This window comes from Homo sapiens, chromosome 2 (genome assembly GCF_000001405.40).
Source record: "Homo sapiens chromosome 2, GRCh38.p14 Primary Assembly".
NCBI classification, from domain to species: Eukaryota; Metazoa; Chordata; class Mammalia; order Primates; family Hominidae; genus Homo; species Homo sapiens.
In genome coordinates this window covers 232192077-232218289 of record NC_000002.12, presented here as the reverse complement: position 1 = coordinate 232218289, position 26213 = coordinate 232192077, and the positions used below count along the sequence as shown (strand labels likewise).

The 26213-nt window shown below is 42.3% G+C and overlaps 1 protein-coding gene across 4 annotated transcripts in view; it reads right to left on the bottom strand.

Annotated features, from left to right (window-relative positions):
• The window catches only part of DIS3L2 (DIS3 like 3'-5' exoribonuclease 2), a 382638-nt gene that overhangs the window by 126061 nt on the left and 230364 nt on the right, over positions 1-26213 (bottom strand). For all 4 annotated transcript variants that reach the window (NR_046477.2, NR_046476.2, NM_001257281.2 and 1 more), the window contains one exon: positions 7885-7964. Coding sequence is in view for 2 of the 4 variants with exons in the window: in NM_001257281.2 (NP_001244210.1) it covers positions 7885-7964 (80 nt within the window). In the remaining 2 variants the exon portion in view is untranslated. The remainder of the gene's footprint in view (positions 1-7884; positions 7965-26213) is intronic.

Sequence of the window (26213 nt, the reverse complement as noted above, 5' to 3'; positions counted from 1 at the left end):
GTGATGTGCACATGACATGGACATATATGTGTGTGTGAGCATGCGTGTTCATCCGCGGTTCCTCGCTTATGACTCCTACAGCCCTTATTACAGTCTTTTGTTAAAATGTTGGAGAGCTTTAGGCCACTGAATCTCTCTGACTTTCTCCTGCCCTCCTTTCACCCGCTTCTTTTTCTCCCCAAGGCAGGACTCTAATCTTCCCCTCTTCCCATTAAAATGTTCTCTGACCTACCTTGCCTGATTGTGGGTTGGAAGACTTCCATTTTAAAAGGGGTCCTGCCCTATATCCTGGAAGAGGGAATGCTGCACAGAGAGGCCAAGAAGCATCTGCACAGGCCTTGCTGGGTTTCTCCATTCAGTCTGTCACTGAGATCAAACGCTTTTTGCCCAATCACATTTCTACATGGGTGTCCATGCTTCAATCATGCCTATCGAATGAAGCCTCCATAAAAGGCCCAATAGGACAGGGTTCAGAGAGGTTCTGGAGAGCTGAACACATGCAGGTTCCTGGAGGGTGGCATGCCTGGGGAAGGCATGGAAGCTCCACATCCCTTCCCCCATACCTCGCCCTAGGCAACTGTTTATCTGGATCCTTTGCAATATCTTTTATAATAAACCACTAAACTTAAGCGTTTCCCTGAGTTTTCCGTGAGCCACTCTAGCAAATTTATGAAACTCAAGGAGGGGGTTGCAGGATCCCAAACTTATAGCTGGTCAGTCAGAATCACCAGTAAACCACCCTGGAGCCTGCAATTGGCATCAGAAGCGTGAGGCAGTCTTGTGGGACCAGGTGCTCAATCTTTGGAATCTGATGCTATCTCCAGGCGGAGAATATCAGAACTGAATTGGAGGACAACCTGCTGGCATATGCTGCAGAACTAATTGCTTGCTTGGTGTATGGCAAAAAAGCACCCAAGTATTTGGTCATAGCAGTCTTCTGTGTTGATTGTTGCAGGGTGGCAGCAGGGGAAAGGCAGTCTGTGTTGTTTTTTCCCACTCAGACTATCTCCTTCACCACTCCGTCAGCCCTCTCAGCAGCATTCGGCTTTCTACTTCACAGTGGAAGCAGGTATGGCCAGGTGTGATCCCTCATCAGCAGGGACCCATCAACTATGTCTTGCCTCTCTGTCTCATAGAAAGAGGTGTTGTGGCCAGGCGCGGTGGCTCACACCTTTAATCCCAGCACTTTGGGAGGCCAAGGCAGGCGGATCACAAAGTCAGGAGTTCAAGACCAGCCTGGCCAATATGGTGAAACCCCATCTCTACTAAAAATACAAAAATTAGCCGGGTGTGGTGGCAGGCGCCTGTAGTCCTGGCTACTCGGGAGGCTGAGGAAGGAGAATCACTTGAACCCAGGAGGGGGAGGTTGCAGTGTGCAGAGATTGCACCACTGCCCTCCAGCCTGGGCGACAGAGCAAGACTCCATCAAAAGAGGGGAGGGGAGGGGAGGGGAGGGGAGAGGAGAGGAGGTGTTCTTCCTTGGCCTTACCTTCCACTTATGCTCTGATTCATCTCCCACCTTCTTCTTCAAGACCCTGCAAAACGATCAACTCTTCTCATGCCTGTGTTTTCAACTTTTCCTTCTCTGTCATCTCCTAGTTCTCAACATAAACATATCAAATATCTTGCATCTTAAAAGCAAAGAAAAAAGCCACCTTTGACCTATGTTAGTTAGCAAGTGATGAGTGGTGAGAAAAAAAAAATGGAAAGGTGGCTAGGTGAGAGGGGTGGAATCAGAGGCAGAATGGCTAGGGAGGCTTCACGGAGAAGGTGACCAATCAAACCTGAAAGGGAGAGGTCAGCCATGTGGCTTTGCAGGGAAAGGGGAAACCAGGCACAGGGGACACCAAGTGCAAAGGTTGTAGAGCATGAGAGGGGCACTGATGCCTGAAGGGCTGGGCAGTGAAAGATGAGTTAAAAAGGCGACTGGAGAAGAAAAGCCCACATTTAGAGCCAAGAGCAGGCAGGGTCCTTTGAGTCCAAGGAAGAGTGAGTGAATTTCAAGGAGGAATAGCAGACTAAAGAGCCAAGTGCTGTAGAGATGCTTAGTGAACTGAGGCTGGGGCAACCTGTTGCAGCCAGCATTCTGAAGCCACACTGTAAAAGGGATAAGGAATACACGGGAAGTGAGAAAGCAACGGGAAGTGAGAAAGCAACAGCAAGTAAAGACAACTCTTCCAAGGTGTCCTGACAGACACAAGTGAAAGTTCTAGAGCTGGAGCAGAGTACAGGAAGGTTTTATAGGATGAGGGAGACTTCAGGTGGTACAGCAAGAGGAGGAAGCAGGGCAAAGGGAAATGTAAAGGGGCTGGGGTGAATGATTGCTGGGGAAGAGTCTTCCCAGAGGTGAGAAAAGAGCCCAGGAAGAGGGTCTGGCCTGGCTGCTAGAGACATGCACGAACCTTTTCACTCAGAAGCCCCAGGGCTCTCACATGTCCCGTTTCTTCCCAGTAGCAGGTCCAGTGACTTCATCTCAGCCCTTTGCTCTTTAAAACAACTACCACCCCATCCTATCCCTCAGGTTTTCTAGCCAAAGCCTGGCACACAGGGGGACACAAGAATTTCTGGCTCCTACTTCCTCACTGCCTCCAAAGGTGATCAGTCAATATAGGAAATTCTCAGCAGGTGACAAACACAGCCATTTGGGGAGCCAGAGAGTTTATTAGGAATTCTCTGAAATCCTTACAGGCACTGCTCCTAGACTCTCACTCTATTCCCTTATTGCTATGGGCTCCCAGGAACAAAGCTGTCTGCTCCATCCTCCCCAAAAAATGTCATGCAACCAGGCAGGCTGCAGAGACAATCCAGGCAGGAAGACTGGTGCTTCCTTGAGCACAGTAGGTAATGTCCACCCCAGAGGCCCCTTAGGCTGGATGCTGTTCTAACTTAACCAAATATTTTCTATGCAGATAGTGGGACAGACCCTTCTTTTTTTGAGTCAGAGGGCTGCACTCTGTGGGGATGGGAAATGTGAGCGGGCAGCAGAGCAGAGGGCTGTGCACCCGGGGCTGTAGTTTCATGGTTCAGAGAGGAAAGCAGCAAGGAGGAGAGATGGACACGAGGGATGTGACTATGATAGCCAGCTGGGCATTCCATAAAGACCTCTGCTAAACTGTGGTTAAGGTGTAAACTCCAATTTCCAGAAAGCCTCAAGGATAAGTGGATATGTTTATTTCTTCTCATTCATTTATTCATTCACTCCTTTTCCCCTAGTGGTTTTTGGTATGTCCACAAAGTTGTGCAACTATCAATTATCTAATTCCAGAACATTTTCGTCACCCAAAAAGAAACTGAAACCCATTAACCATCATTCCCCATTCCCATTCATTCATTTCTAAGGCCGGGCTAGGGTAACCCTGTAAGTTCAACAGCAGAGTACATGTTAGAGAATACAACTTTAGAGAAACAAGATGCTGGAGAAGTGAAGTTCAATTTCCTGCAGGATCTGCTGGGAGCCTGAATCAACGAAAAGCGAATAAAGGTCCTAGCTTGTCAGGCTGACAATTTTCCCTCAGAGACTAAGGCAAAGCCACAATGCTTGACTAATTGAACAGAATGGGTAGCTGTTACTCTGAACCCAGTCCTGCCCAATAAGGAGGAACTGGCAAGGAGAGAGTAGGCCCTGATAGCCAGGGAGGCGCAGTCTGGATACAGGTAGCCATGTACTTCAGACTTCATAAAAGCAGAAGTGACTCCATGACATGGGAGATGGGCTCACACCTCATAACCCACTGGACACCAAAGAATATTTAGGATGCTAAGTTGAGAATTTTTGACTCAGAAGACACATGATAACTGTTATCTAGTAACTGATAGGTTGTCAAATGAGACACTAGATTTGTTCTATAGGGGCCCGAGAGGCATAAATGGGACTAATGAGTGGAAAATTACAGGAAGAGAGCACTGTTTCAGATCATTACAGGGAAGGATTTCCTAATAGTCAAGCAATCTTAAGGCAGAATGAATTGCCTCTAAGGTAGAAAGTTCAAATGCAGTCTGGACATTCCATAAGTGGATGCAGTGGAGGTAATTCGAAAACCAGAGAGTGATCTGACAACTGTGGCATTCCCACACTTCAGCGTTGAGGTCAGCTGTGAGGTATGCTGCAAGTGATCTGTACAATAATAAAACACTGAGGCACACGATTTACTGTCTCCAGATTCTGGGTTATCACTATAACGCCACTCCTATTCACTTACATTACTAAATATTTTCTTGAACAAAGGTGAAAAACTCTACATTGCTGGGTAATGCTCATGGGAGTGTTCTCCTGAAGTGTGTTTTTAGGATAAGAAAAGTGGAGAATTACCAGGTTGGAAACCAGTAGAATCCCTTCCAAGCTGAGATTTCATGAAGATAGGTGGCACCCTCTCCTCCGCCTGCAACCTAATTATGATCTATTGGTAGACAGGTGGTCACTGTGATTTGCTGAATTGATCACTGGAGTGTCTCACCTGACAGACACTGGTAACAAGTCCTGGGAGTACATCTGAACTCTACCAAAAGGGAAAGTAAGGACTAGGTATGTTATATTTGTCTGCTTTTCACAGAATGGTCATTCAGATAATTTTAATGAAACCAAAGGAAAGTTAAACTTTACACTTAAAAAAAAAAAAAAAAAAAAAAAACTACAGATGATATAAATAGACCGAGAAAACACTATTTGTTTTTTGAAGCATTGAACATTTTTCCCCCTAAGCAAGAATTGACATGAACTGGTAACTACCTCAACCTGAACTTAGCCAACCTCACCCCAATCCAAACTGGAATTGACTTTCCCTTTTCAACTCCTTGGATAAATGGCCCTGGCAGAAACTGTTGTCACAAAGGCCAACTGTAGAAGTGCCACCATAAAACTGTTTGCCTGACCAACTCAGGCCGTTTCAGAGTCTTCCCTGACTCCTTTTCCATGTCCTTTTCCTGCTGCTCTGCCAAACTGCTCCTCAGGAATGCAAGAAAAACTAAGTGGATGGAAGGTATCTGATCACCTGGTGCAGTAGGCTACTGAGCGGCCTGTGATTTCTGGCACCTCATAATATTTTTGTATTACAAAATTTTTTCATTATACAACTATTATTGCCACATTATAAAAATTTGGGAACTAGAGAAAGGAAAAAAAATCACTTATGATCCCATCATTCGAATGAAATCACTGCATTTTGGTGCATTGCTTCCTCTCCTCCCGGGCTCTTTGTATATAGTTCCACGGACTGCATCTATTTAGCTTGTTTATACACACCTCAGCTCCCCTACAAAGAATTTGCAGCAACTAACATAAATAACATCAGACAGACAACTCCATGCCAACATACTCTCTCCCAAACCAGCTTGTACTCCTGATTCCCATTTCTAACTTATGGGTTCCATCTCCCAGTCATCCAGGTTGAAACCTTGGCACCATCTTGGACTCCTCTCCCTCAACCCCAACATTCATTTCCATAGATTCTTCTGTCATTATCCCTTTCTCACATCTGTCCTTCCCACTCCAACCCCCCCTATTGATTTTGCTACCATCTAGTCCAGGTCCACAACTATTGCAATATTTCTCTGACTCATTCCCCAGCCTCTAGTTTCTCTCCTTTTCCTTGCAATGCTAAATTATTTTCCTCTTTTTGAATGCTCTCTTGCTGAACAACATCTGCTTGCCTTTCCATTGTCCAACAAACAAAAAACACTATTTGGTCTGAAAATTTGTCCCGAGTTTGTCCCCAATCTATCTTTCCTATCATATCTTTGACCACTTCCTTTATGAAACCTCTGCTGACACACTTGGGCCCTAGACATAAAACCACAGTGTATGCAGTGAGTACGGCAGGACATGTGCCTGCTCCCTGGAGACCCTGCAAGGTGCAGGGTTCCAGGCCAGCTGAGACAGAGGAACAGGTAGTAGATGTATCCGTCTGCTATTATCAACTATGAAAATGGACAAAACAAATGAAGCAATTGTGTCTAAGCATTACACAAACAGTAGAGGTGTGAACCTAGAGGTAAGGCAAATATGAGGAATGAGGTCCACGGTCACCTGGCTTTCAGCCTAGGGGCACTTTCCACACTGTGGCTCAGGGAAGTGGTGTCTATATGCCGAGCAGGTATGCCTAAGCCTCTGCATGCAACAGAGATTGCTAAGAATGTAAGAAATCAAGCCAGTACTTGCTTTTTGAAGTAGGCTGCTTCAATTTTGGATTTTAAAAAGATATAATTTCTCTAAAATTTCCAGGGGACCTTTTCTCTTGTTTCTTTCAGTTTTCTTTAGTTGAAAATATTGAGGCTCAGCACAGTGGCTCGTGCTTGTAATCCCATAGTGGCTCGTGCTTTGGGAGGCCCAGGCAGGAAGACTGCTTGAGCTTGGGAGTTCAAGGCTGCAATGAGCCACTGCATTCCAGCCTGTGTGACAGAGTGATACTCTGTCTCTAAAAATCGATTAATTAATTAATTTTTAAAAAGAAAATATTGAGCAATCTTGCCCATAGTTTCAAGGAAGATAAAACCAGTCTTAGGCAATGTCTTCTATCTCTCAGCCTTCTATCTACTAAGCTTCCCCATCTATTATAGTAGAGAAGAGATTACATACTGAACCTACGGCGTTCTGTGTCAGTGGGAAATATGAACATCTTTGCAATGTTTTAAAACACTAGGCCACTAGGCCATCAACGCTTGGTGGCAGACTGAAACTGCAAGGGTGGATGTCCACATTGGGCAAATGTCAAAGGCCATGTTAGTGCCAAGGCCATCTCTGAGGATGACCAAAGCCAAAGCAGTCACCCAGAAGCCACCCTAGAGAGGGGCAAGAAGTAGGTAAAAACTAGAAGCAGCACATCTGGGGCATTAGAAAAGGGATTGGGGGTGCTGGGCATGGTGGTTGACGCCTGTGATGCCAGAACTTTGGGAAGCTGAGGTGGATGGATCACTTGAGCCCAGGAGTTCAAGACCAGCCTGGACAACATGGTGAAACCCCATCTCTACCACAAATACAAAATATTAGCCAGGCTTGGTGGCACACACCTGTAGTCTCAGCTACTTGAGAGGCTGAGGTGGGAAGATCACCTGAGCTTGGAAGATTGAGGCTGCAGTGAGCTATGATCATGCCACTACACTCCAGCCTGGGCAAAAGAGTGGGACTCTGTTGAGAAGAGGAGGGGAGGGGAAGGGAGGGGGAGAGGGGGAGGTGGAGGAGGAGGAGGGATTGGAAGGGTTCACTTTTCTCATATCCTACACATTTTTTCTTTGAGAGTCAATTGCTGCATTCCCTTCCTCCAACTATAATTTCCAAAGACAACTAGCCTCAATCCCACTTTTACCTGCTCAGTAACATCCCAAAAGAATGTTTAAAGAGCCCTTATCAGTTTGCCTTTCTCAACTTGCTGGATAGATGAAAACCTACTGGGAGTAGCCCAAGCTTCTCCAGCTCAGCCCTAGAGAGGCAGTTCTCAGGGAAGGTGTTCCTGCTACCCACCGAGAAGCATGCCTTTGAAGAGTACCCCTTCAATCACGTTATTTGGTGTTAAATTCAGGTAAAGAACCCTATGTCTCTCCCAAGCAGAGCCCTTACAAGCTTTCTTTCTGTGATACCTTACACCAACACTGGAACCATCTGAAGGGCCAAGGCTTGGAATTCATTCTTTAGCACTCACTGTTGCCCCTTCTGAAGCCCAAGAAGAGTCTAGTGGGAGGACATTTCTCATTCTCACCCTCACCAATGTCACCACAGGAACACAATCTTAAGGTCACATAGTTGTAAAGGCTCAGAGGCCTATGGCAAGTTCAGGCACGAAGCAAACCTAGCCTTGCACAGTATGCTGCCTAGGCAGCACAGGGCAGCCAGGCTAACCACACAGGCATGCAGACTGCCTGCTACCCAAGATGCTATAGAAATTTCCATCCTACCGTCAGCGAGTGGCTTGCAGGAGAGGGCATCATCGAGGTCTCGGGCGGTTGATGGGTCAATGGTGAAGATACAGTCTTTTCTAGGAAAGAGTGAAGAAACAATTAGCAATGCCACAAATAATAGCAACTTTACCCCACCATAGTACAGCTTTAAAGAACAGTGAATTTTGCATATGTGCTCTGTTAGGGAAAGTGAAAAATAACTTCTACGAGAATGAGATCTTTAGTTAAATGTGAGACTGAGAAGAGACAAATGGGTGAGTGACTTTCTCTTCCTCTGTGTGAACTGGCACCTACTTCTCCTTCACCCCAAGCCAGAAGAGATGTGAGTGGGTGAAAATCAGGCTGCTTCCATGAACGAGGCTTCTCAAGAAGAGTTGGCCAACAAGAGGGGCAAGTTACTTTGGTAAATTACTCTTCAATTTACACTTTGGTAAAATATCCTTCTCCAGTGACTTGTGATACAGGGGGATGGGACCCAACAATAAGCTTCGCAAAAAAACTTTGGGCCGTAGAGTTAACCATAATAGAAGTCTACCTGGAAACAGCACAAATCACAGTTTGTTTCCACAGAATAATTATATATTTCAACCAAGCTCATACCAAGTACACCATGTGCCCATTTATCTTTGCACAATATCCTTACGAACATCACACTCTTACCCTGTGAAACTCCCAGACATTCTCATTCTGTTTTACAGTTTCCCATATAGCATGCCTGACTCAATCCACCCATTCCCACCATGTAAACACCTAAAGATCTTGGCAGCAGCTGTCCTTGGCTCTCCATACCTCCAGCCTTTCCTGCCCGAGGACTGCCTGGAGATTGGGGTATTCTGCAGCAACTGCCCTTCTGCCCCCATGCCACACTCTAGTCGGTGCTCACTGCTTCCTAGGTTCTTCCTCCACTCCATCCAGTACTAGCAGTGCACTGCCACCATTTCTCTGTCTTTTCCTCATTCATCAACACTGATGATGTTGCCCATACTTGTACTAACCATGGTAAGACAGGCTTTGTTCTTAAAGACTTCTTCCCTGGTGTTGCTCCTCTGTTCAAAACCTCCTTGGCAGCAGTGAGCTATAATTGGGCCACTGCACTCCAGCCTGGACAATAGAGCGAGACCCTGTCTTCAGAGGCTGCCAAGCTGCTCTAATGCTGGCCTGCCACAAGCTCTTGGGACCTTTCTCTATCCGACTCTTAACTGTCCACTTACCCTACTCCTAGTAACTCCCAACAGCCCTCTCTAATCCTAACCACAATACTTCCATCCTAAGAGAGTATTAATTATAAGATGCGCCATCAATTCTGTAATAGCTTTTGGAGAAATAAAAACCCCACCACATTAAATATATACATTAATTTTAAGATACTTCAGAATTTCAGAAATGTCAAATGTTTAAAAAATAATAATAACCTTTTTTTTTGTATGGCTCACTGCAGCCTCAACCTCTTGAGCTCAAATAATCCTCCCACCTCAGACTCCCAAGCAGCTGACAGTATAGGTGCATGCCACCACACTGGAGTAGTTTTAAAACTTTTTGTAGAAACAGGATCTCACTCTGTTCCCCAGGCTGATCTCAAACTCCTGGCTTCAAGGGATCCTCTCAACTTGGCCTCCCAAAGTGCTGGGATTACAGGTGTGAGCTACGATGCCCAACCCAAAAAGTAATCTTAAATGGTAAATGGATAACCAGACTGTGGTATACCCCCAAAATGGAACAGTATTTAGCAACAAAAATTAACAAATTATTCATAAATGCAACAGCCTGGATGAATCTCAAAGGTATTGAACTAAGTGAAAAGAGCCACTCTCAAAAAGAAAACAAAGCACTTTGGGAGGCCAAGGTGGGCAGATCACCTGAGGTCGGGAGTTCAAAACCAGACTGGCCAACATGGTGAAACCCCGTTTCTACTAAAAATACAAAAATTAGCCGGGCATGGTGGCACACGCCTGTAGTCCCAGCTACTCAGGAGACTGAGACAGGAAAATTGTTTGAACCCGGGAGGTGGCGGTTGCAGCGAGCCAAGATTGTGCCACTGCATTCCAGCCTGGGCAACAGAGCAAGACTTGGTCTCAAACACAAAAACAAAAAAGGGTGGGGGGAGGAGAGGGGATAAGAAGAGGAGAGGAGAAGAAGAGGAGAGGAACGGAACGGAATGAAAACAGAGATAAGACAGAGAGCAGATCAGTGGTTGCCAGAACTGGGAAAGGTACGCTTGTGCGGGGGCAGCAGGGGGAGTGGAACTAAATCTATGCATGTCTTAAAATTCACAGAATTTTACATACAGCAAAAGAAGGTCAATTTTAATGTTTACTATTTTTTTAAAAAATTCATGTGACTTTCAAATCAAGAAGAGTAAAACATATATGTTAAATATTCATAGGGTTGATCGACGGGTGCTAGATTTATGGATTAATTTTTTTCCCTTTAATGTGTACTTTTTCATATTTTTAAAATTTTTCACTGCAATTGAATATTACTTTTGTAAATGGAAAAAATCAAAACTATAGAGAATCTTCCTTAATCAAAAAACAATTGATCAGATATGTATTATTGTTTGTTTGTAAATATATTGTTTGTACATATATTTAGCTATCTTGTAACATTTGTTACAAGATGCATTTGGCTTAATATAGTTAATGGCTTTAAGATTATGGATCTGGTAAAAACTGTGTCCCTACTGGACACTAAGAAAATAGGGCAGGGAAAGGTAGGTGCCATTCAGGTGGAGGGAACGAGAGCATTTAGAGTGCAGATCCCAGAAAGGGTGATTAATCAGGAGACCCACTCTCCCTCTAAATATTTCGAGGAGAGTCACACACAGTGTAGGCAACATGAAGGTTGAAGCCTCAAGATATACAGAAGTAATTTTGGTTCCACTATATAAAAGAGGTTGTAAGCAAGAGTGCCAGAGGAGAAGAGAAACACTGATCTCCTGGAATGCGTGCTCCGAGGGCTGTGTTCCCAGAGCCTTGAACAGAGGCTGCACCTCAGACATGTTTGTTGAATGAACAGATTGATGGTAATAGGAAGTGCCCAGGAGGTGAAATCAGACCTGGCACCACAGCAATGGGCTGTAATTGATGAGGATCTTGAACTTGGCTCACAAGGTAAAGAAGGAAGTGTCCACTTCTTTCTCCTTTTGATATCTCCCATAAAATCTAACCAAATGTTTTATATACACTGAGTACTCAATAAAAAATACTGGTATAACTGAAACTAAAAAGTCAGACATGGTAGTAGGAATGTTTGGGTCTTCTTCTTTTATCATAATGACATCATAAAAAGCCAAAAAAATGTTCCCCTAGTCAAAATCAAAAAGAACTCCATTAGCTTGGTTGGAGGTGGGAAGCCATCGTTTACTAGGTTACTTGGAGGGTTGACTAGGAAGTTTTAATTTCTTAAAATTAAACGTCTCTGGGTGCTTTGAGACTTTCATTTCTATGGATCCAGTGCATGAATGATAATTCCCATTTAGACATTTCCAGCCTGAAGTTGATCCCACCATATGTGACCGTGTAAGACTTTGTTAGTTTGTAAATGTCTTCTTTGGGAGCCCCCACAACTGCTTTCTAAGAAAAATCCTAGACTAGCCTGTAAGGACTCAAACCAACTCTCTATTACCTTTAACACTTTTTAAAAATCTGCTCTTAAACCAGAAACATAAAAGTCTAAATTAAAATGGAACCTGACAAACAGTACTCAGGAAGGCTTGCTTGCTGGAAAGATAAGCCATCCAAACATTATTCCTGATCAGGAATTGGCAAACCATACTACACTGGTCAAATCTGGCCTGCCACTTGTTTGTGAGTGACCTGCAAGATGAGAACAGTTTTTGCATGTTTAAATGACTAAAAAATAAAAAATCAAAAGAAGAATACTATTTTGTGACACAAAAATGATTGTGGAAATTCAAATTGCACTACGCACAAATAAAGCTTTATTGTACACAGCCACACTTTTTCTATACAATGGCAGTGTTGACCAGTTGTGACAGACAGCTGTTTTAATTGTGCCTGAAATATTTCCTATGTGACCCTTCACAGGAAGTTTGCTGACCCCTGTTTTAGATCAACGTTTCTGAATGTGCCAATTAAGTGTTTTAATTTTTTTAAAAAAGATCTTATGATTAAATCAGTTTGGGAAATACTGGGCTGATTTCTTAACTGTAGGACTTCGAGGAGCCTTTAATATGCCGGTATCAACAGTTCTTGACCAACTCATTTGCTCCTGGCACTTCTTTGTGGGACAGCATCTCCCAGAACCAAGATTCCTCAAGGGAGCACCTTTGGAGATGCGAAGAACTGCACTGAAATGCCCTGCACAGGCCTCCCATGGTGCCCTTGTCCTACTTGGGGCTTTGCCACCAAGCCTACCCCAAGGGACACTGCAAGAAGTCAACCAAATGACTATGCTATCACTGTAGGGAAGCAGGGAGAACAAGGGCCCATTTGACCATGTAGTATCCTTTTATAGAGTACACTTATGGGGGAAGTTGATGCAGTATAAGGAAACACTCTACTTGTGACAATCTGTATCTTACAGACACACAAATTTTATCCTTGATGGCTTCCCTTTTTATGCTATATGAACTGTCTGCTGTACAAAATAAAATAAATAAACTTTAAAAAGTTTTCCTTTTTGCTTTGGCTGCTAGGAAACTCAGAAAACCTTCCTAACTTGCCTCTAGGAGATTTTATTTATAGTTTGCACTTTGTGAACTAACCCTTATCCTGGCTGTGCCTAATTTTCCTACTCACGTGTTCCTTTTACCTCATTTCCTAATTTTTAAAAAAACACTTGCTGGGCACGGTGGCTCATGGCTGTAATTCCAGCACTTTGGGAGGCCGCGGTGGGCAGACTGCTTGAGTCCAGGAGTTCAAGACCAGCCTGGGCAACATGGTGAAACCCTGTTTCTACAACAAATACAAAAATTAGCCATTGTGGTGGCATGAGCATGTAGTCCCAGCTACTCAGGAGACTACTCCTGAGAAGTAGGAGTAGTCTACTATTACTTCCAGTTAGTAGTAGAAGTGGGAGAATCGCTTGAGTCTGGGAGGCAGAAGTTGCAATAAGCTGAGATCACGACACTGCACTCTAGCCTGGGTGATAGAGCAAGACCCTGTCTCAAAAAACAAACAACAACAAAAAATTCACTGCATTTTATATATATATATATATATATATATATGTAAACTGCCTTCAAATATTTTTGGATAAAAGCAAGGTATAACTAAATACATATGTATATTGAGAGATTACAACATTCCAGAATCATGTGTTGAGGGGATGCTGGAAGACAGAAAGATGCAGCCTAGACTACTAAGAGAACGAACCTCTTGACAGCAAAACTCAGAGGGCTCTCAGAAAGTATTTCTACTGTAGCAGCAGACTCCAAGCTTCCTCTCTCACTATGGAAAATTGGGAGAAGCAAAGGAACGGTGAGTGACCCTGACAAACCCCAGTCCTCAGTGCTGAGAGCCAGTGATTTAATCTGTTGTCATCACCGCAATTACGAGCCTGCCACGATGTGCTGCATGAGGGCTCCTTCTGCTTGCAAGCCGCAGTGGCTAGGAGCTGCTGGCCTCAGCACTTGGGAGCCCAGCCCCGTGCGGTGGGGTTGAGGGTGATGGAGGCGGTGCACTGTGCAGCTGTTACACTCAGTTAACATGCTTGGGATTTTACTGGCTCCTTTTCTGGAAGGCTTTGGTCTCACAACCTGCAGGGAGCAGCCTGGCCTGCCAGCTTTTAGAACCTGTGAGACCAAATATTTAAAGAGTTCCACAACAATGGTTAGAAAGAAGTTAACCCTGACCCGCAGAAAATACAGTGCCAGGTGGGGGAGGGAAAGAATGAGACTCCAGTTCATGAGGCTGCAGAATTCCAATTCAGAGCAATGTTATGTAACCAAAATTTCTGAAGGCACGTGACTGAAGGGCTTAGAAGAACTTTTTAAAGAGACAGAAAACTTCTAAGATTGTGTTTTACCCAAAGCCATTGGTCTGGGAATGAACACATGAAGAGTAAGTCTTCTATAATCCCTTAAAACCTCGCCAAGAACCCTAGGAAATAACAAAAGCTTAGAAATAATTTCTGTTCCTTTGTCACTTACACTCTTCCTCTGACCCTGCACCCTCAGCCTCCTCAAGGTATTAACATCTCTACCTCCTTTAAGCTGGAAGAAGCTGTCTAGTCGCCACAGCAACATTTACTCACCACTTTGTCATTATTCACCTCACTGGATTTTGGTCATGGCCCCTACCACATCACAGAAACTGTTCTCCCCAAGGTCGCAGATGCTGCCAGATTAAGCATCTTAAAGCATGCATTGGTCAAAAACCTTCATCAACTCCTTACCGAGAAAAATACAAAGTCAGCTTAGGATTTAAAGCCCTTCATGACCCAGCCCCAACCTGTACTTTTCCAGTTAGACTGCATGCTCCCGCTATGTCCCTCGTGTGCTAAATTCTTCTCTACACCCTCTGCTTTCTGAAATGTTGTTTGTGCTGTTCCTATAGTGGGCTACTTAACTCTACCAATCTCCAATGTCTAAGACCTACCTTGCAGTTAAAGGCCTGCCTGCAATGCCAGCTTTTTTCCAGTAAACCCTCACAGCCCCAAAGAATAGAAGCTATCTCTCCCCCATGCGCCCTACCCATGCCTGCAACCTGCCTCTCTCTGATGGCAACAGCCACTGTCTCTGGCATGTTGGTGGCCACTTATGGACATGTCTTATCGCTGTGACAGGCTGGGAGCCAGTATCAGGTCTGGTAATGAGATTGGACTGTCTTTATATCCCTTCCAGCACATTGAAGGCACATATGTAATGAATAGCTGATGGACAGATGAATGAAAAAACGACCAAAGGGCTCTTGTGGAGCACTTTTCCACTCAATTTTGCCACTGTGTCTTGGGAAATACATTTAGGATTAGAACTCATGACTTCCTGGCATTCAATCCTGTGGTCACACCACAGTGTTATTGTTTCCAAGGGTGTCCTTTTCTGTCTTCATCCCATCTTCTTTTCTCATAAAACAGTGTTTTACAAACTGTGGTTCAGGGACCACTTCCAGATTAGCAAAATTTATAGAGGCCCTCCTCTGTCCGTGACTCTGGGTCTGTCTCCGTGCTAGCAAGCAATTCTGGGGAGGAGGATCTGGGTCAATGATGAAGAATGGGTGAAAAGGAATGGAAAAAAAATTAAGAAATAACCTTAAGTGGATAAAGAATAAAACTTTCAGTCCAACACTTTCTTAGATTAGATGGCATCACAGTTTATAAAGAAATCAGCAAATTTTATGTAAACTGTAGAAGGAAAAACAACTGAAGAGCTGGATCATTCACCCACAGGGATGTGTTCCCAATTGTACCATTGCAGAGAGCCCAGCCAGATGGGTGCTGTGACATTCCAGTACAATCAGATGCTGAATTCATCTAAGCCTCCATTTCACAGAGCTGGGATCATCATTCAAACCTAGGTCTGTCCCCTTGCTCAGTGGGGCTGCGCCTTTTCTTTTTTTCGACGGTAGTTGCCAATATCATAATACTGTTTCACGCACTTCTACTCACACAAAAGATGCTAAGAAGCAGACACAAAACACAAATTTTTCACAACAGGAAAAGTCTATGGTCTATTTAGAGCAGAAAGTGACCTTGGTCCATTTGCCTCCACTTCCCCAGCCTCACCACACTCAGTGGTAAAGTGACACTTAATGAGGCCATATGGCCAGTAGAAAGAAATGATGCAGCACTGTGGGCAGGCCCTTTTCACTGGAGCAGGTGTTTCTAACCTCGGGTCCTCAGAAAGGTCAACTCAAGCGTTAGCAGAATTCTACACCAAGTGAATGTGTTTATTAAGTTCTGTTATTTTTTAAAGGATAGTGATGAAACTTAATCCAAACAAACTGAAATGTTCTGCCATGTTACATCCCTTTACTCATTGGTTCTACTCACCGGTTCAATGAACCTCTCATCGTTCTATGTTTTTTTTCTGTTTGTTTGTTTTTGAGATGGAGTCTTGCTCTGTCGCCAGGCTGGAGTGCAGTGGCGCAATCTCTGCTCACTGCAACCTCCGCCTCCCAGGTTCAAGCGGTTCTCCTGCCACAGCCTCCCAAGTAGCTGGGACTACAGGTGCGTGCCACCACACTCAGCTAATTTTTGCATTTTTAGTAGAGATGGGGTTTCACCATGTTGGCCAGGATGGTCTCAATCTCTTGACCTCGTGATCCACCCACCTCGGCCTCCCAAAGTGCTGGGATTACAGGCGTGAGCCATCACGCCTCTTTTTATACTTTAAAAAAACAACATCCTGAAGCAGAGGACAAAGGACAGGACGGGTCTGGGACTGTGGGAGCCAGAGATCAAGGGATGGGCCAGGAAAGCCATGGTTTAAACCCAGAAAATATGTTCAAATTCATTTTCTTCCCCTTAATTTTCATTTGAAGAATGTTAAACTTTCAGGAAAGTTGAAAGAATAGTAAAATGAACATCCATATACCCTTCATCAAGATTCATCAAATTTCAACATTTTTCCATATTGGCTTTATCTTTTTTCCTCCTTCCATCCCTCCCTTCCTGTGTCTAGCTGGTTGTTTTGTGTGTTTATTTTTGACATCTGAATTACCAAGAAGTATGTCACAGAGATGGTGATACTTTCCCTCTCCATACTTTAACATGCATTGTCCAAAACTAAGGGCATTCTTCCATAGAACCACAACACTAACACCACAGTCAAGATTAATACTTTCATATCACCCAATTCATAGACCACGTTTAAATGTCTTTGACTGTTCCTAAAAAGTCTCTTTTGCTTTTAGTTTTCCTCCTGATCCAGGATCTAATCAAAGTTTCCACAATGTATTTGGTAGTTATGTCTCTTTAGCCTGTTTCTTGCTCAACTATCTTTTGTTTTTCAAATATAACATTGCTTTTTTATTCTGAAGAGTCCAGGTCAGTTGTCTTGTAAAGCGTCTTATGTTCTGGATTTATTAGATTGTTTCCTCACAGAAGGAGGAAGAAAGGGATAGACAGAAATAAATCAAATGTGACAAAATTCATCTCCTCTGTATTTCCTATAAATGGAAAGTTGGGTAAAAAGGCTTGACTAGATTCATGGTGAACATTCTGGCCTCAAATTTTCACAGGTGATGATGTGCATACCTTCAGAAGGCACAAAATGTTAGGCTGCCAGGTTGGATTACTTGGTTAAGGTGCTAATAGCTAGAACTGTGTATGTTAAGGCTACCTTTTACCCTTTGTAAATAATAAGAAACCTACAGAATGAGACTTAGAGATCATGTGAATATCCTGCTCTCAAAAACCCTTTTGGGGCCAGGCACGGTGGCTCACGCCTGTAATCCCAGCACTTTGGGAGGCCGAGGCGGGCAGATCACCTGAGGTCAGAAGTTCGAGGCCAGCCTGGCCAACATGGTGAAACTCCGTCTCTTCTAAAAATAGCCAGGCGTGGTGGTCGGCACCTGTAATCCCAGCTACTCGGGAAGCTGAGCCAGGAGAATTGCTTGAACCCAGGAGGCGGAGTTTGCAGTGAGTTGAGATCGTGCCACTGCACTCCAGCCTGGTCAACAGACAAGACTCCATCTCAAAAAAAAAAAAAAAAAAAAAACCTTTTGGTCAATGGTTTCAGCATCTAGATGACTTGACTTTTGCCTGAATGAATCATAGCCTTGTAAATTATAAAATGTTTGCTAATCCTATAATATCTCCTACATTTGCTGGCTATCTTCTATTAAAAGAAGTTTTTTCCTGCCCCCAATTTTTTTTTTTAGTGTCATTACAAATTCATTGATTTTTTAAAAAAATTCACTGTGTTATAATCCATTACCACGACTACCACTACTATTCTTTTTGATACATAAATTTTCCCAAATTAGGCTGGTGGGAGCCCTTTCAAGTGAGCCTCTATATCCCTGTGGCAAGTCTCACAAGCTGTACAATCCCTGCCCCAGGTTTATAATTACCGACTTCCCTAAGGAGCCCAAATTCCTTCTGGTGGGAATGGCATTTAGAAACCAGGATGGGGCATAAGATATGCTCATTGCCTCCAGGCCCTTTCAGCTAGCAGAGTTAGAAAATGTTGGGTTGAATCACATGAAATTGTTAATATTTGACTATTTGTGGCCTAAAAACTGGCAATTTCATGTGGTTCAACCTAAATGCTGTTTAAAAATCATGAGTTCATATTGACATCCCCAACTGAAATCTAATACCATAAAGTTCTTATCTCCCCCATTCCATATTTATATCTTTCTTTTTCCAGTTCCCAATGGCCTTGATATTCAAAACTGTTTCAGAATTACAATGCCAACACCACTCACAACAACAAACCTATTAAGTTTGATTTCTTTGGTGGTTTATCCTTAGAATATACTCACTATGGGTATATAGTTCGAGTGCTTAAAAGTTACTTGAATTCTTTTTTCTGTAGGTGCTGATGCTATACATTTGAAAAACATTAGGCCCATTTGTTTTTGCTTGATTTCAATTTTAGAAATTTTGCTTTTACCACCTTTTAGATTATATTACTGAATATTTAAAACTTTAAATGGTTCAAAAGTTAGCATACTCAAAAGAAGTCTCATTCCCATCTCTATCATTCCCCCAGCTCTTACCTCTCCCCTATAAATAATTATTTTCATCATTTTCTGGTTTACCCTTTCTGTGTTTGTTTTCCTTTTTCATACATATATAGATAGATACATTTTTCTCATTTTCTCTTCTTTCTTACACAAATAATCAAATACTATTACTTCTCTTTTCATTTTGCTTTTTGCACTTAATAATAAATCCTGGAAATCACTCTGTATCAGTTCAGGGACCAGAATCACAGAATAATCAAATTGGAAGGTTACCCTACTCCAAATCTTATCCTCTGAATGTCCCCAAACAAAAACCAAGCACACAGATAAACCCACATCTTGAAAGCTGGGATGGGGAGGTGAGAGGAAGAGTTCACTGCATCATTAGGCAATAATTAGATAGCTCTACCTGTTAGGAATCACCTTTACACACTGAACTGAAATCTGACTCCGAGAAACTTCAAAATTCAGGCCCTTCATGGCCACAAAGAATTAGCTGACTCCCTCTGATACCATACAGCTCTTCAAACATGACTTTTTTCAAGAAATATGCCCATTCCTTTCTTTTCTAAACTGTTTATAACTGTGAATAATTGTAGCCTTTTTCATAAAATTTCACTTACTTAGTGTCAAGAACAAGTCCAAGTTGTAGGAACCAGTAGAACATCAATGTGAAGAAGATATCAGAGGTCAAGAGAAAGACAAGAAATGCTACACCCAACAAATATTTAGTGGCTATCTACTGCTTTCGGGGTTTGGGACACATTTGAGAACAGACAAAGATTTCCACGGGGAGGAGACAGAAAATAAACAGTGCTGAAATTCATTGCTATGGAGGAAAAAAAAGAAACATTAGAATACAGTAAGGGGCACTGAAAGTACTGATTACAATTATGAATAGGATATACAGGGTAGGCTTCACTGAGAAGATAGCATGTGAACACGACTCAAAGGAGGTGTAGAAGTAACGCGTGGGCTATCTGGGGAAGAAGAACTTGGGCAAAGGCCCAGAATCCACGAAGTTAGTTTACCTGAAAGCACTGAACTACTGGGCACAACTCAACCAAGAGAGTTTGTATGCAGGGCAGAGATGGCTTGGTCTCTGACTCTTTTATTTCCTGTCCAAGAAGATTTATAGCTAGGCTTGCTGGTGTTCAGAATGCAGCTTTCCATGCCTAAGGGTGCAATGAGGGCAGCCGAGTCCCACCAGGCCAGAAAGTCTCTCTATCCGAAGCTCTCTCTGAACATCTCTTTCTTCTTTTATCTCTGGTAGTAGTTTACCTATAATCCAGATTTAAAATATCAGATTGCAGTTACTTTAAAACAGCCTATGAGAATACTAATTAATACAAATTAAGTTTTAAAATCAAACAAAACAAAGGGGCTGTAAGCTTCCAGGAAATAATACCACAGAAGGATCAAATACCTAAGCCCCTAAATATAAAGTGTTAAGAGTTAAAGTATAAAAAGTTCTATACAATCTATAAAATCTTCTCAGATTTTATAAACATAGGAGAGGTCTTCAACATACGAGAAATCTTATTCTCATTAAAAACACTTTTTTTTCTCTATTTCCTAGAGATGGCCCTTAAGGGGATAGAATTATAACAATGGTGGGTGTTATTTTTACTCTCACTTTGTGGGTGGGGAAACTGAGGCCCAGACGGATTAAGTAACTTGCTCAAGGTCAAAGAAGCCCAAGGTCACAGAACTGCAGAGCTATGACTCAAAGGGACAGGAATTCACCAAACAAGTCAATTAGACCAAGTTCTATTTCAATGAGAGTTGAAATCTCCCCTACTTCTACCCTTAATTCCAGACTTTTCTTTTTTTTTTTTTTAATGAGATGGAGTCTCACTCTGTCGCCCAGGCTGGAGTGCAGTGGTGCGGTCTCCGCTCACTGCAACCTCCGCCTCCCCTCCCGGGTTCAAGTGATTCTCCTGCCTCAGCCTGCCAAGTAGCTAGGAGCACGTGCCACCACACCTAGCTAATTTTTATATTTTTGTAGAGACGGGGTTTCACCATGTTGGCCAGGATGGTCTCAATCTCATGACCTCATAATCTGCCTGCCTCAGCCTCCCAAAGTGCTGGAATTACAGGCTTGAGCCACCGCGCCCAGCCAGAATTCCAGACTTTATCTTAAGATTTAAAAACTCTGGATGTATTTTGGCAAAAGTAATAACTTATCCCAAATCTCTACAAGAAAAAGTTTCTCTGTGGTTGACTAGGTTGACAATGACTTCATTTTAGGTACCCCATCCAAACCTGAAAACTTCCCATCCTCAACCTGAAAATCTCCATCCAGAGTTCTGATATAGTTTCTTCACAGTAGATACTCCTTAGTATGACTGAGAAAGTCAAGTACCAAGTACTTTCCTTAGGAAAGGATATATAAAAATAGGAAAACGATAGTGAAAGAAAGAATATATGTGAATATATTTTCACTTAAATATACTACGCTTAAAATTTGCTTCTTGATTTCCAGAAGTGACATAGTTAATATGTAAAAATAAAACAGAAATTGTAACCAAATTTTAATATGACTTTATCTGAGACTAAGCACAGTGGGGTAAATGACAGCATTTAATGGATTTAAATTCTAGTGGACAGAATTAAGAAGAGTCACAAAGTCAAGGAATTTACTATGTCTAGACATCTCTCCTAGATTTCTATTTGAGGAACAATGTATTTCTTTTCTCATCCTTTGAATTCCCAAGTTAGGAATTCAGAACCTGCTGTTGAAAGGATCATCATCCTTAATTCTCAATCCATTTATCAGGCTAAAATGCAAATGCAAGTGGTGAATGCATTTCAACAGCCCTGGAGCTCCAAAGAGACTTCTCAGGGAACATGCTGAGCTAACTGGGGAAGGGTTAAGCCACCCCTATTTTTCAGATCTGAAAACAGTTGTTCTGATATGAGAAGAAGCATTACAATGGTGCCAGCTCCCTTCTATAAAAGCTATACACATTTTTTGCACAACTGTATGATTGTTATGGCAACCATAAAAATGGAACTATCATTCTTCACATTACACACTACCCATACTAGATTACCTACCTACATTTGTTCTTCTACATTACCCAGAATTTCTTTTCAGAAAATGCTATGTCTGTCCTATAGATGTTTAGGAGCAAGATAAAGTGGTCTCTTTCAAAGGGAGAGTCCACAACAATGAATCTTTCAAAAGCCTTGCTCTTCAAGAATTCTAGGGCTTTCCTGTCAAGTCTTTTAATCCTATGGTCACTGGGAGGCCTCAAAATATTCCCCCTGGAGGCAAAGGAACTGCCTGGAAAATGTATTCTCAAAATGAATGTTTTTTATTAAGATGATGATGTGGAAAGATACTATTGTTGAAGCATCATAAATGATGCATAATAGGCCTTAACAGGCCTGGCACCGTTTTATAAAATATTGAGATTATTTACTAGAGTCTCAGTTTAGAGAGATAAGTGACTTGTGTACAAGATCCATACAAACAATTAAATAAATTTGCTGCTGAAAATAAAGAATAATAACATGAATATATGTTTAAAATACCAGGCCAGGCACATTGGTTCACGCCTGTAATCCCAGTGCTTGGAGGCCAAGGAGGGAGGATCACTTGAGCCCAGGAGTTCAAGGTTGTAGTGAGCTATGACTGCACCACTGCACTCCAACCTGGGTGACAGAGCAAGACCCTGTATAATAGTATAAAATTTATAATTATAAAAATTCTAATAGTGAGAAAAGTTTGACAATAAAAGAATCTGACCTAACAGATTCCATCTTGCCTTTAACCTCCAAGCTGCCCTTGTTCATTCCTGGGCATAGGCTGAACTAACTTTAGGAGGAATTTAATTCATACTTTAACTTTAAAACAAAGATGATAAAAGCCTCTCCCCAAAACAAACTCCCCCCTTGCCTGGGGACTAGACTGCCTTCATAAAACTAATAAATTAGCAAGATTTAAAATAATGGTTTAAGAGATATGCAGCCAGGAGCCACAAGATTCCCCACCTCTCAATTGCTCCTATGGATAACATTATTATTATCAAACCTAAGGCTCATGCTCAAGGCAGGGAGTGGGGGTTCATCCCTGTAATCCTAGCACTTTGGGAGGCTGATGCAGGAGAACAGCTTGAGCCCAGGAATTCCAGACCAGCCTAGGCAACACAGCAAGACACCATCTCTATTTAAAATAAAAAGAACTGTAAACTGGCTCACCTGGTCTTGTGGCACCCCCACCCACCACCCCTACCCCACCCCACCCCACCGCACCCCACCCCAGGAACTGACTCAAGACAAGAGGACAGCTTCAACTCCCTATGATTTCATCCCCAACCCAACCAACCAGCATTCCCCATTCCCTAGCCCCTGCCCACCAAACTATCTTTTAAAAACCCTAGCCTCTGAATTTTCAGGGAGGCTGATTTGAGAAATAATAAAACTCTACCTGTTTTAGCCAGCTCCACATGTATTAAACTCTTTCTCTATTGTAATTCCCCTGTCTTGACTAATTGGCTCTATCTGGGCAATGGGCAAGAAGAACCCATTGGGCTGTTACAGTGTCTCAAAAACAAAACAAAACAAATTTCAGCTGTATTTCAGGATAATCGGGGATTCTATTATTAAATTGAGTATGACTTTGTAATTTTTAACAGAAGAAAGTATGAATGTCCTTCTTTTCATTAATGGAGAAAGCCAAGCTTAGAATTATATGTCTTTTAAGTACTCATTTTGGGCCAAAACTCTGTTGTATCATTCAGAGCTTGTTCTATAGTTTTTTGTTTTGTTTTTAAATAGCAGGCTGAAAATGACTTCCTGGCTGATTTTAATATTAAATACTTAGATTCTAGGTCAAAAATATGCTCATAATAACTGTTTGTTTCAGAGAGTTTCCAAATCAAGAATTGGAACATAGTGAAGAATGGAGTGCTACTTCTCTACTCCCACCAACTTCAGGAGAGGAGTCCCAAGTGACCCCTCATGCAACCTACACCTCCTCCTGTGCTTCCAGGTTGCGGGTCACCCAGCACACACTCTCTACCTCAGCCCAACTCCCACAGCCCAGTCCTTACCAAGCCCTGGACTGGCGCTAAATTCATAAAGCCCACTTTCCATTCCTACTAAAGCAGCTCTCTTCAAATGGACTCCAGTCTCCTCTCTTTCTTTCCTGCCTTTCAAGTCCTTTACCACTTGGCTATTAGGACAAAGTCAATTCTTAGAACGTACAATTACATTATACTCTCCTTCTCAAAAACCTTCACTGGCTTCTAGCTATCTTTGAACTATAATCCTCAGCTTGGCATCCAGTATCCTCCATGATTTGGCTTCAAACTATTTCTCCATTCTTACTTAATGTGACTTAGCTTCATTAACATGGGACCTTGGTAAACCAGTTCTGCCAAAACACCCTGAATTCATGATTTTTGTAGATTCACAGTATTTTCTTCTAGACTTTACTCTTTTTAAAGGAAAGGACTGTTTCTCTTAATTATTTATGTAAATATATATTATACATATTTTTAATTCCAACAATATCTATTTCAGTATCTTGCAAATATTAGCATGTATATACACACACATAGAAGCAGCATATATATCTATATACATTAATATTTGCAAGATACATTCCTATTAATATATACTAAGATATATATAGTAGAGATAACAAATATTTACTAAATTGAATCTTTTTTCTTTTTCTTTTTCTTTTGAGACAGAGTCTTACTCTGTCACCCAGGCTGGAGTTCAGTGGTACGATCCCGGCTCACTGCAACCTCTGCTTCCCAGGTTCAAGCAATTCTCATGCCTCAGCCTCCCAAGTAGCTGGGACTACAGGCGAGCACCACCACGCCCAGCTAATTTTTGTATTTTTAAATAGAGACAGGGTTTTGCCGTGTTGGCCAGGCTGGTCTTCAACTCCTGGTCTCAAGTGATCCGCCTGCCTTGGCCTCCCAAACTGCTGGGCCTCGCCGTGAATTGAATCTTTAATTGGGGTCTTCCAACTCCAATCACTGGAAAAAAAGGCTAGTAGAGCCATGAATGTTTTTCACCTAATAGTCTATGTACCAACATTATTTGTGAAACTACTTTGGGTGATACCTTGGGACCTCCAACTATTTCCTAGAGAATTTTGGGGTTTCTTAGAACCAAAGTCCTTTGGATTATGAATATATTAATACCCAATGATAGATGAAATGGGGACATAAAAGAGGCAAGAGGAAGCAGAAATTTGAACCAAAAGGCAGTTTAAAATTTTTACTCCTCATATGACTTAAACATCTTTTTGTTAAGGCAATGTGCCTTAATAATCATCAGAAATAAAGGGGCAATATTTTATCAAGCATAATGTATGCTAGACCCTGTGCTAAGCACTATACCTGTTATTACATTAAACTCTGCCACAACCTCATGAGAAAGACATTATCTGTATATCCCTTTTATTAAAGAAAGTAGGGCTCACAGGAGCTAAAACTTGCCCAAGATTATATACCTAGTAAGTGGCAGAATTTGCCTCTAAAACCTGTGTTCTTGTATTTCACTCCTGTGATAGCAGCATTTAAAACTCCCAAAGGTAGAAGTGAATGCAACTGTGCTAGTCACATTAGGTTGTCTGTCCTTACATTCACTCACCCAAACTAGCATGTAAAGTCAAAACGGAATAATCTGATCCTTGCCTAGAATTTGGAAATTGGGACAAAGGATGGGAAACAAGGAAGGAGTGTGCAGGGAGGAAAGAGAAATCAGTCTCCCTTTGGTTGGATGGGCCCGGAGAGCACCGTGGTAGCTGTAGATAGCAGCCATCCCACTAAGGAGGAGGAAGCAAAGGAGCTAGTCTGAGTAAAGGGGAGGAAGGAAGCCAGTGTGTGAAGTAGGAGAGGCAGAGAGGAAGAAAGAAGTCTTTCTGGGTTTCTTGCCTCACTGCAGTCCCTGGTTCCCTGCCCTTGGATTCTGGGAGACACCACAGCATCCTTAAAACAAATTCCCCTTTCTGCTTAAGTGAGTTCCAGTGGTTTCTGTTACTTGGGACCAAAAAAGTCTTAATTAATGCAACAGCTGTGGAAAGTTTCCTAGAATGGCTAACTCGTCCTGGCTTTCTCTAACACTTTATCATTATCGAAAGCTACGACAGGACATTACAGTCACCACTTCCACACTGTCCCCTGGGGGAGCTCAGAGAGCTCCAGGTGTGGGGAGGCAGAGGGAGGGTGCCGCGACTTTCTAGAAGTTTAAAAACTATTGCTTTGGTAATTAGAATGACATAAAGTACAATGCTATCAAGTCTTTTAGCCAGTAGGAGCTTAAAGAAGACAGGCTCTAACTTCTATTTTCTCAGTATGAGGAAGGGGGAAGTATGAAGTGCTTCTGATTTATTTTTTTAATCAACTTTTTTTTAAAATTAAGGGCATAGGTTTAAGAAGGTGGAGACATATGAGGACCGTGAGTTAGAGATTCCAAAACTGCAGACCTGAAATCAAGTCCCAGTTCTTCCCCCTCAGTCATGTGACCTCAGGCAAGAGATTACTACTCAGAGCCACAGTTTCTTTATCTGAAAAATAAGGACAAGTTTCACAAGGTTATTTCAATGATTAAAGGAGATGATAAGTATGTATATAAAGGTATAACATAAGCCTTCAAAAATATCTTTTGGTATATAAATATATACCCCATTAACAAAAAGATAAGTAAAAACATCAAACTTCTGTACACATTTGTTTTCTTTATGCTGGATATTTTTGGCCAAAC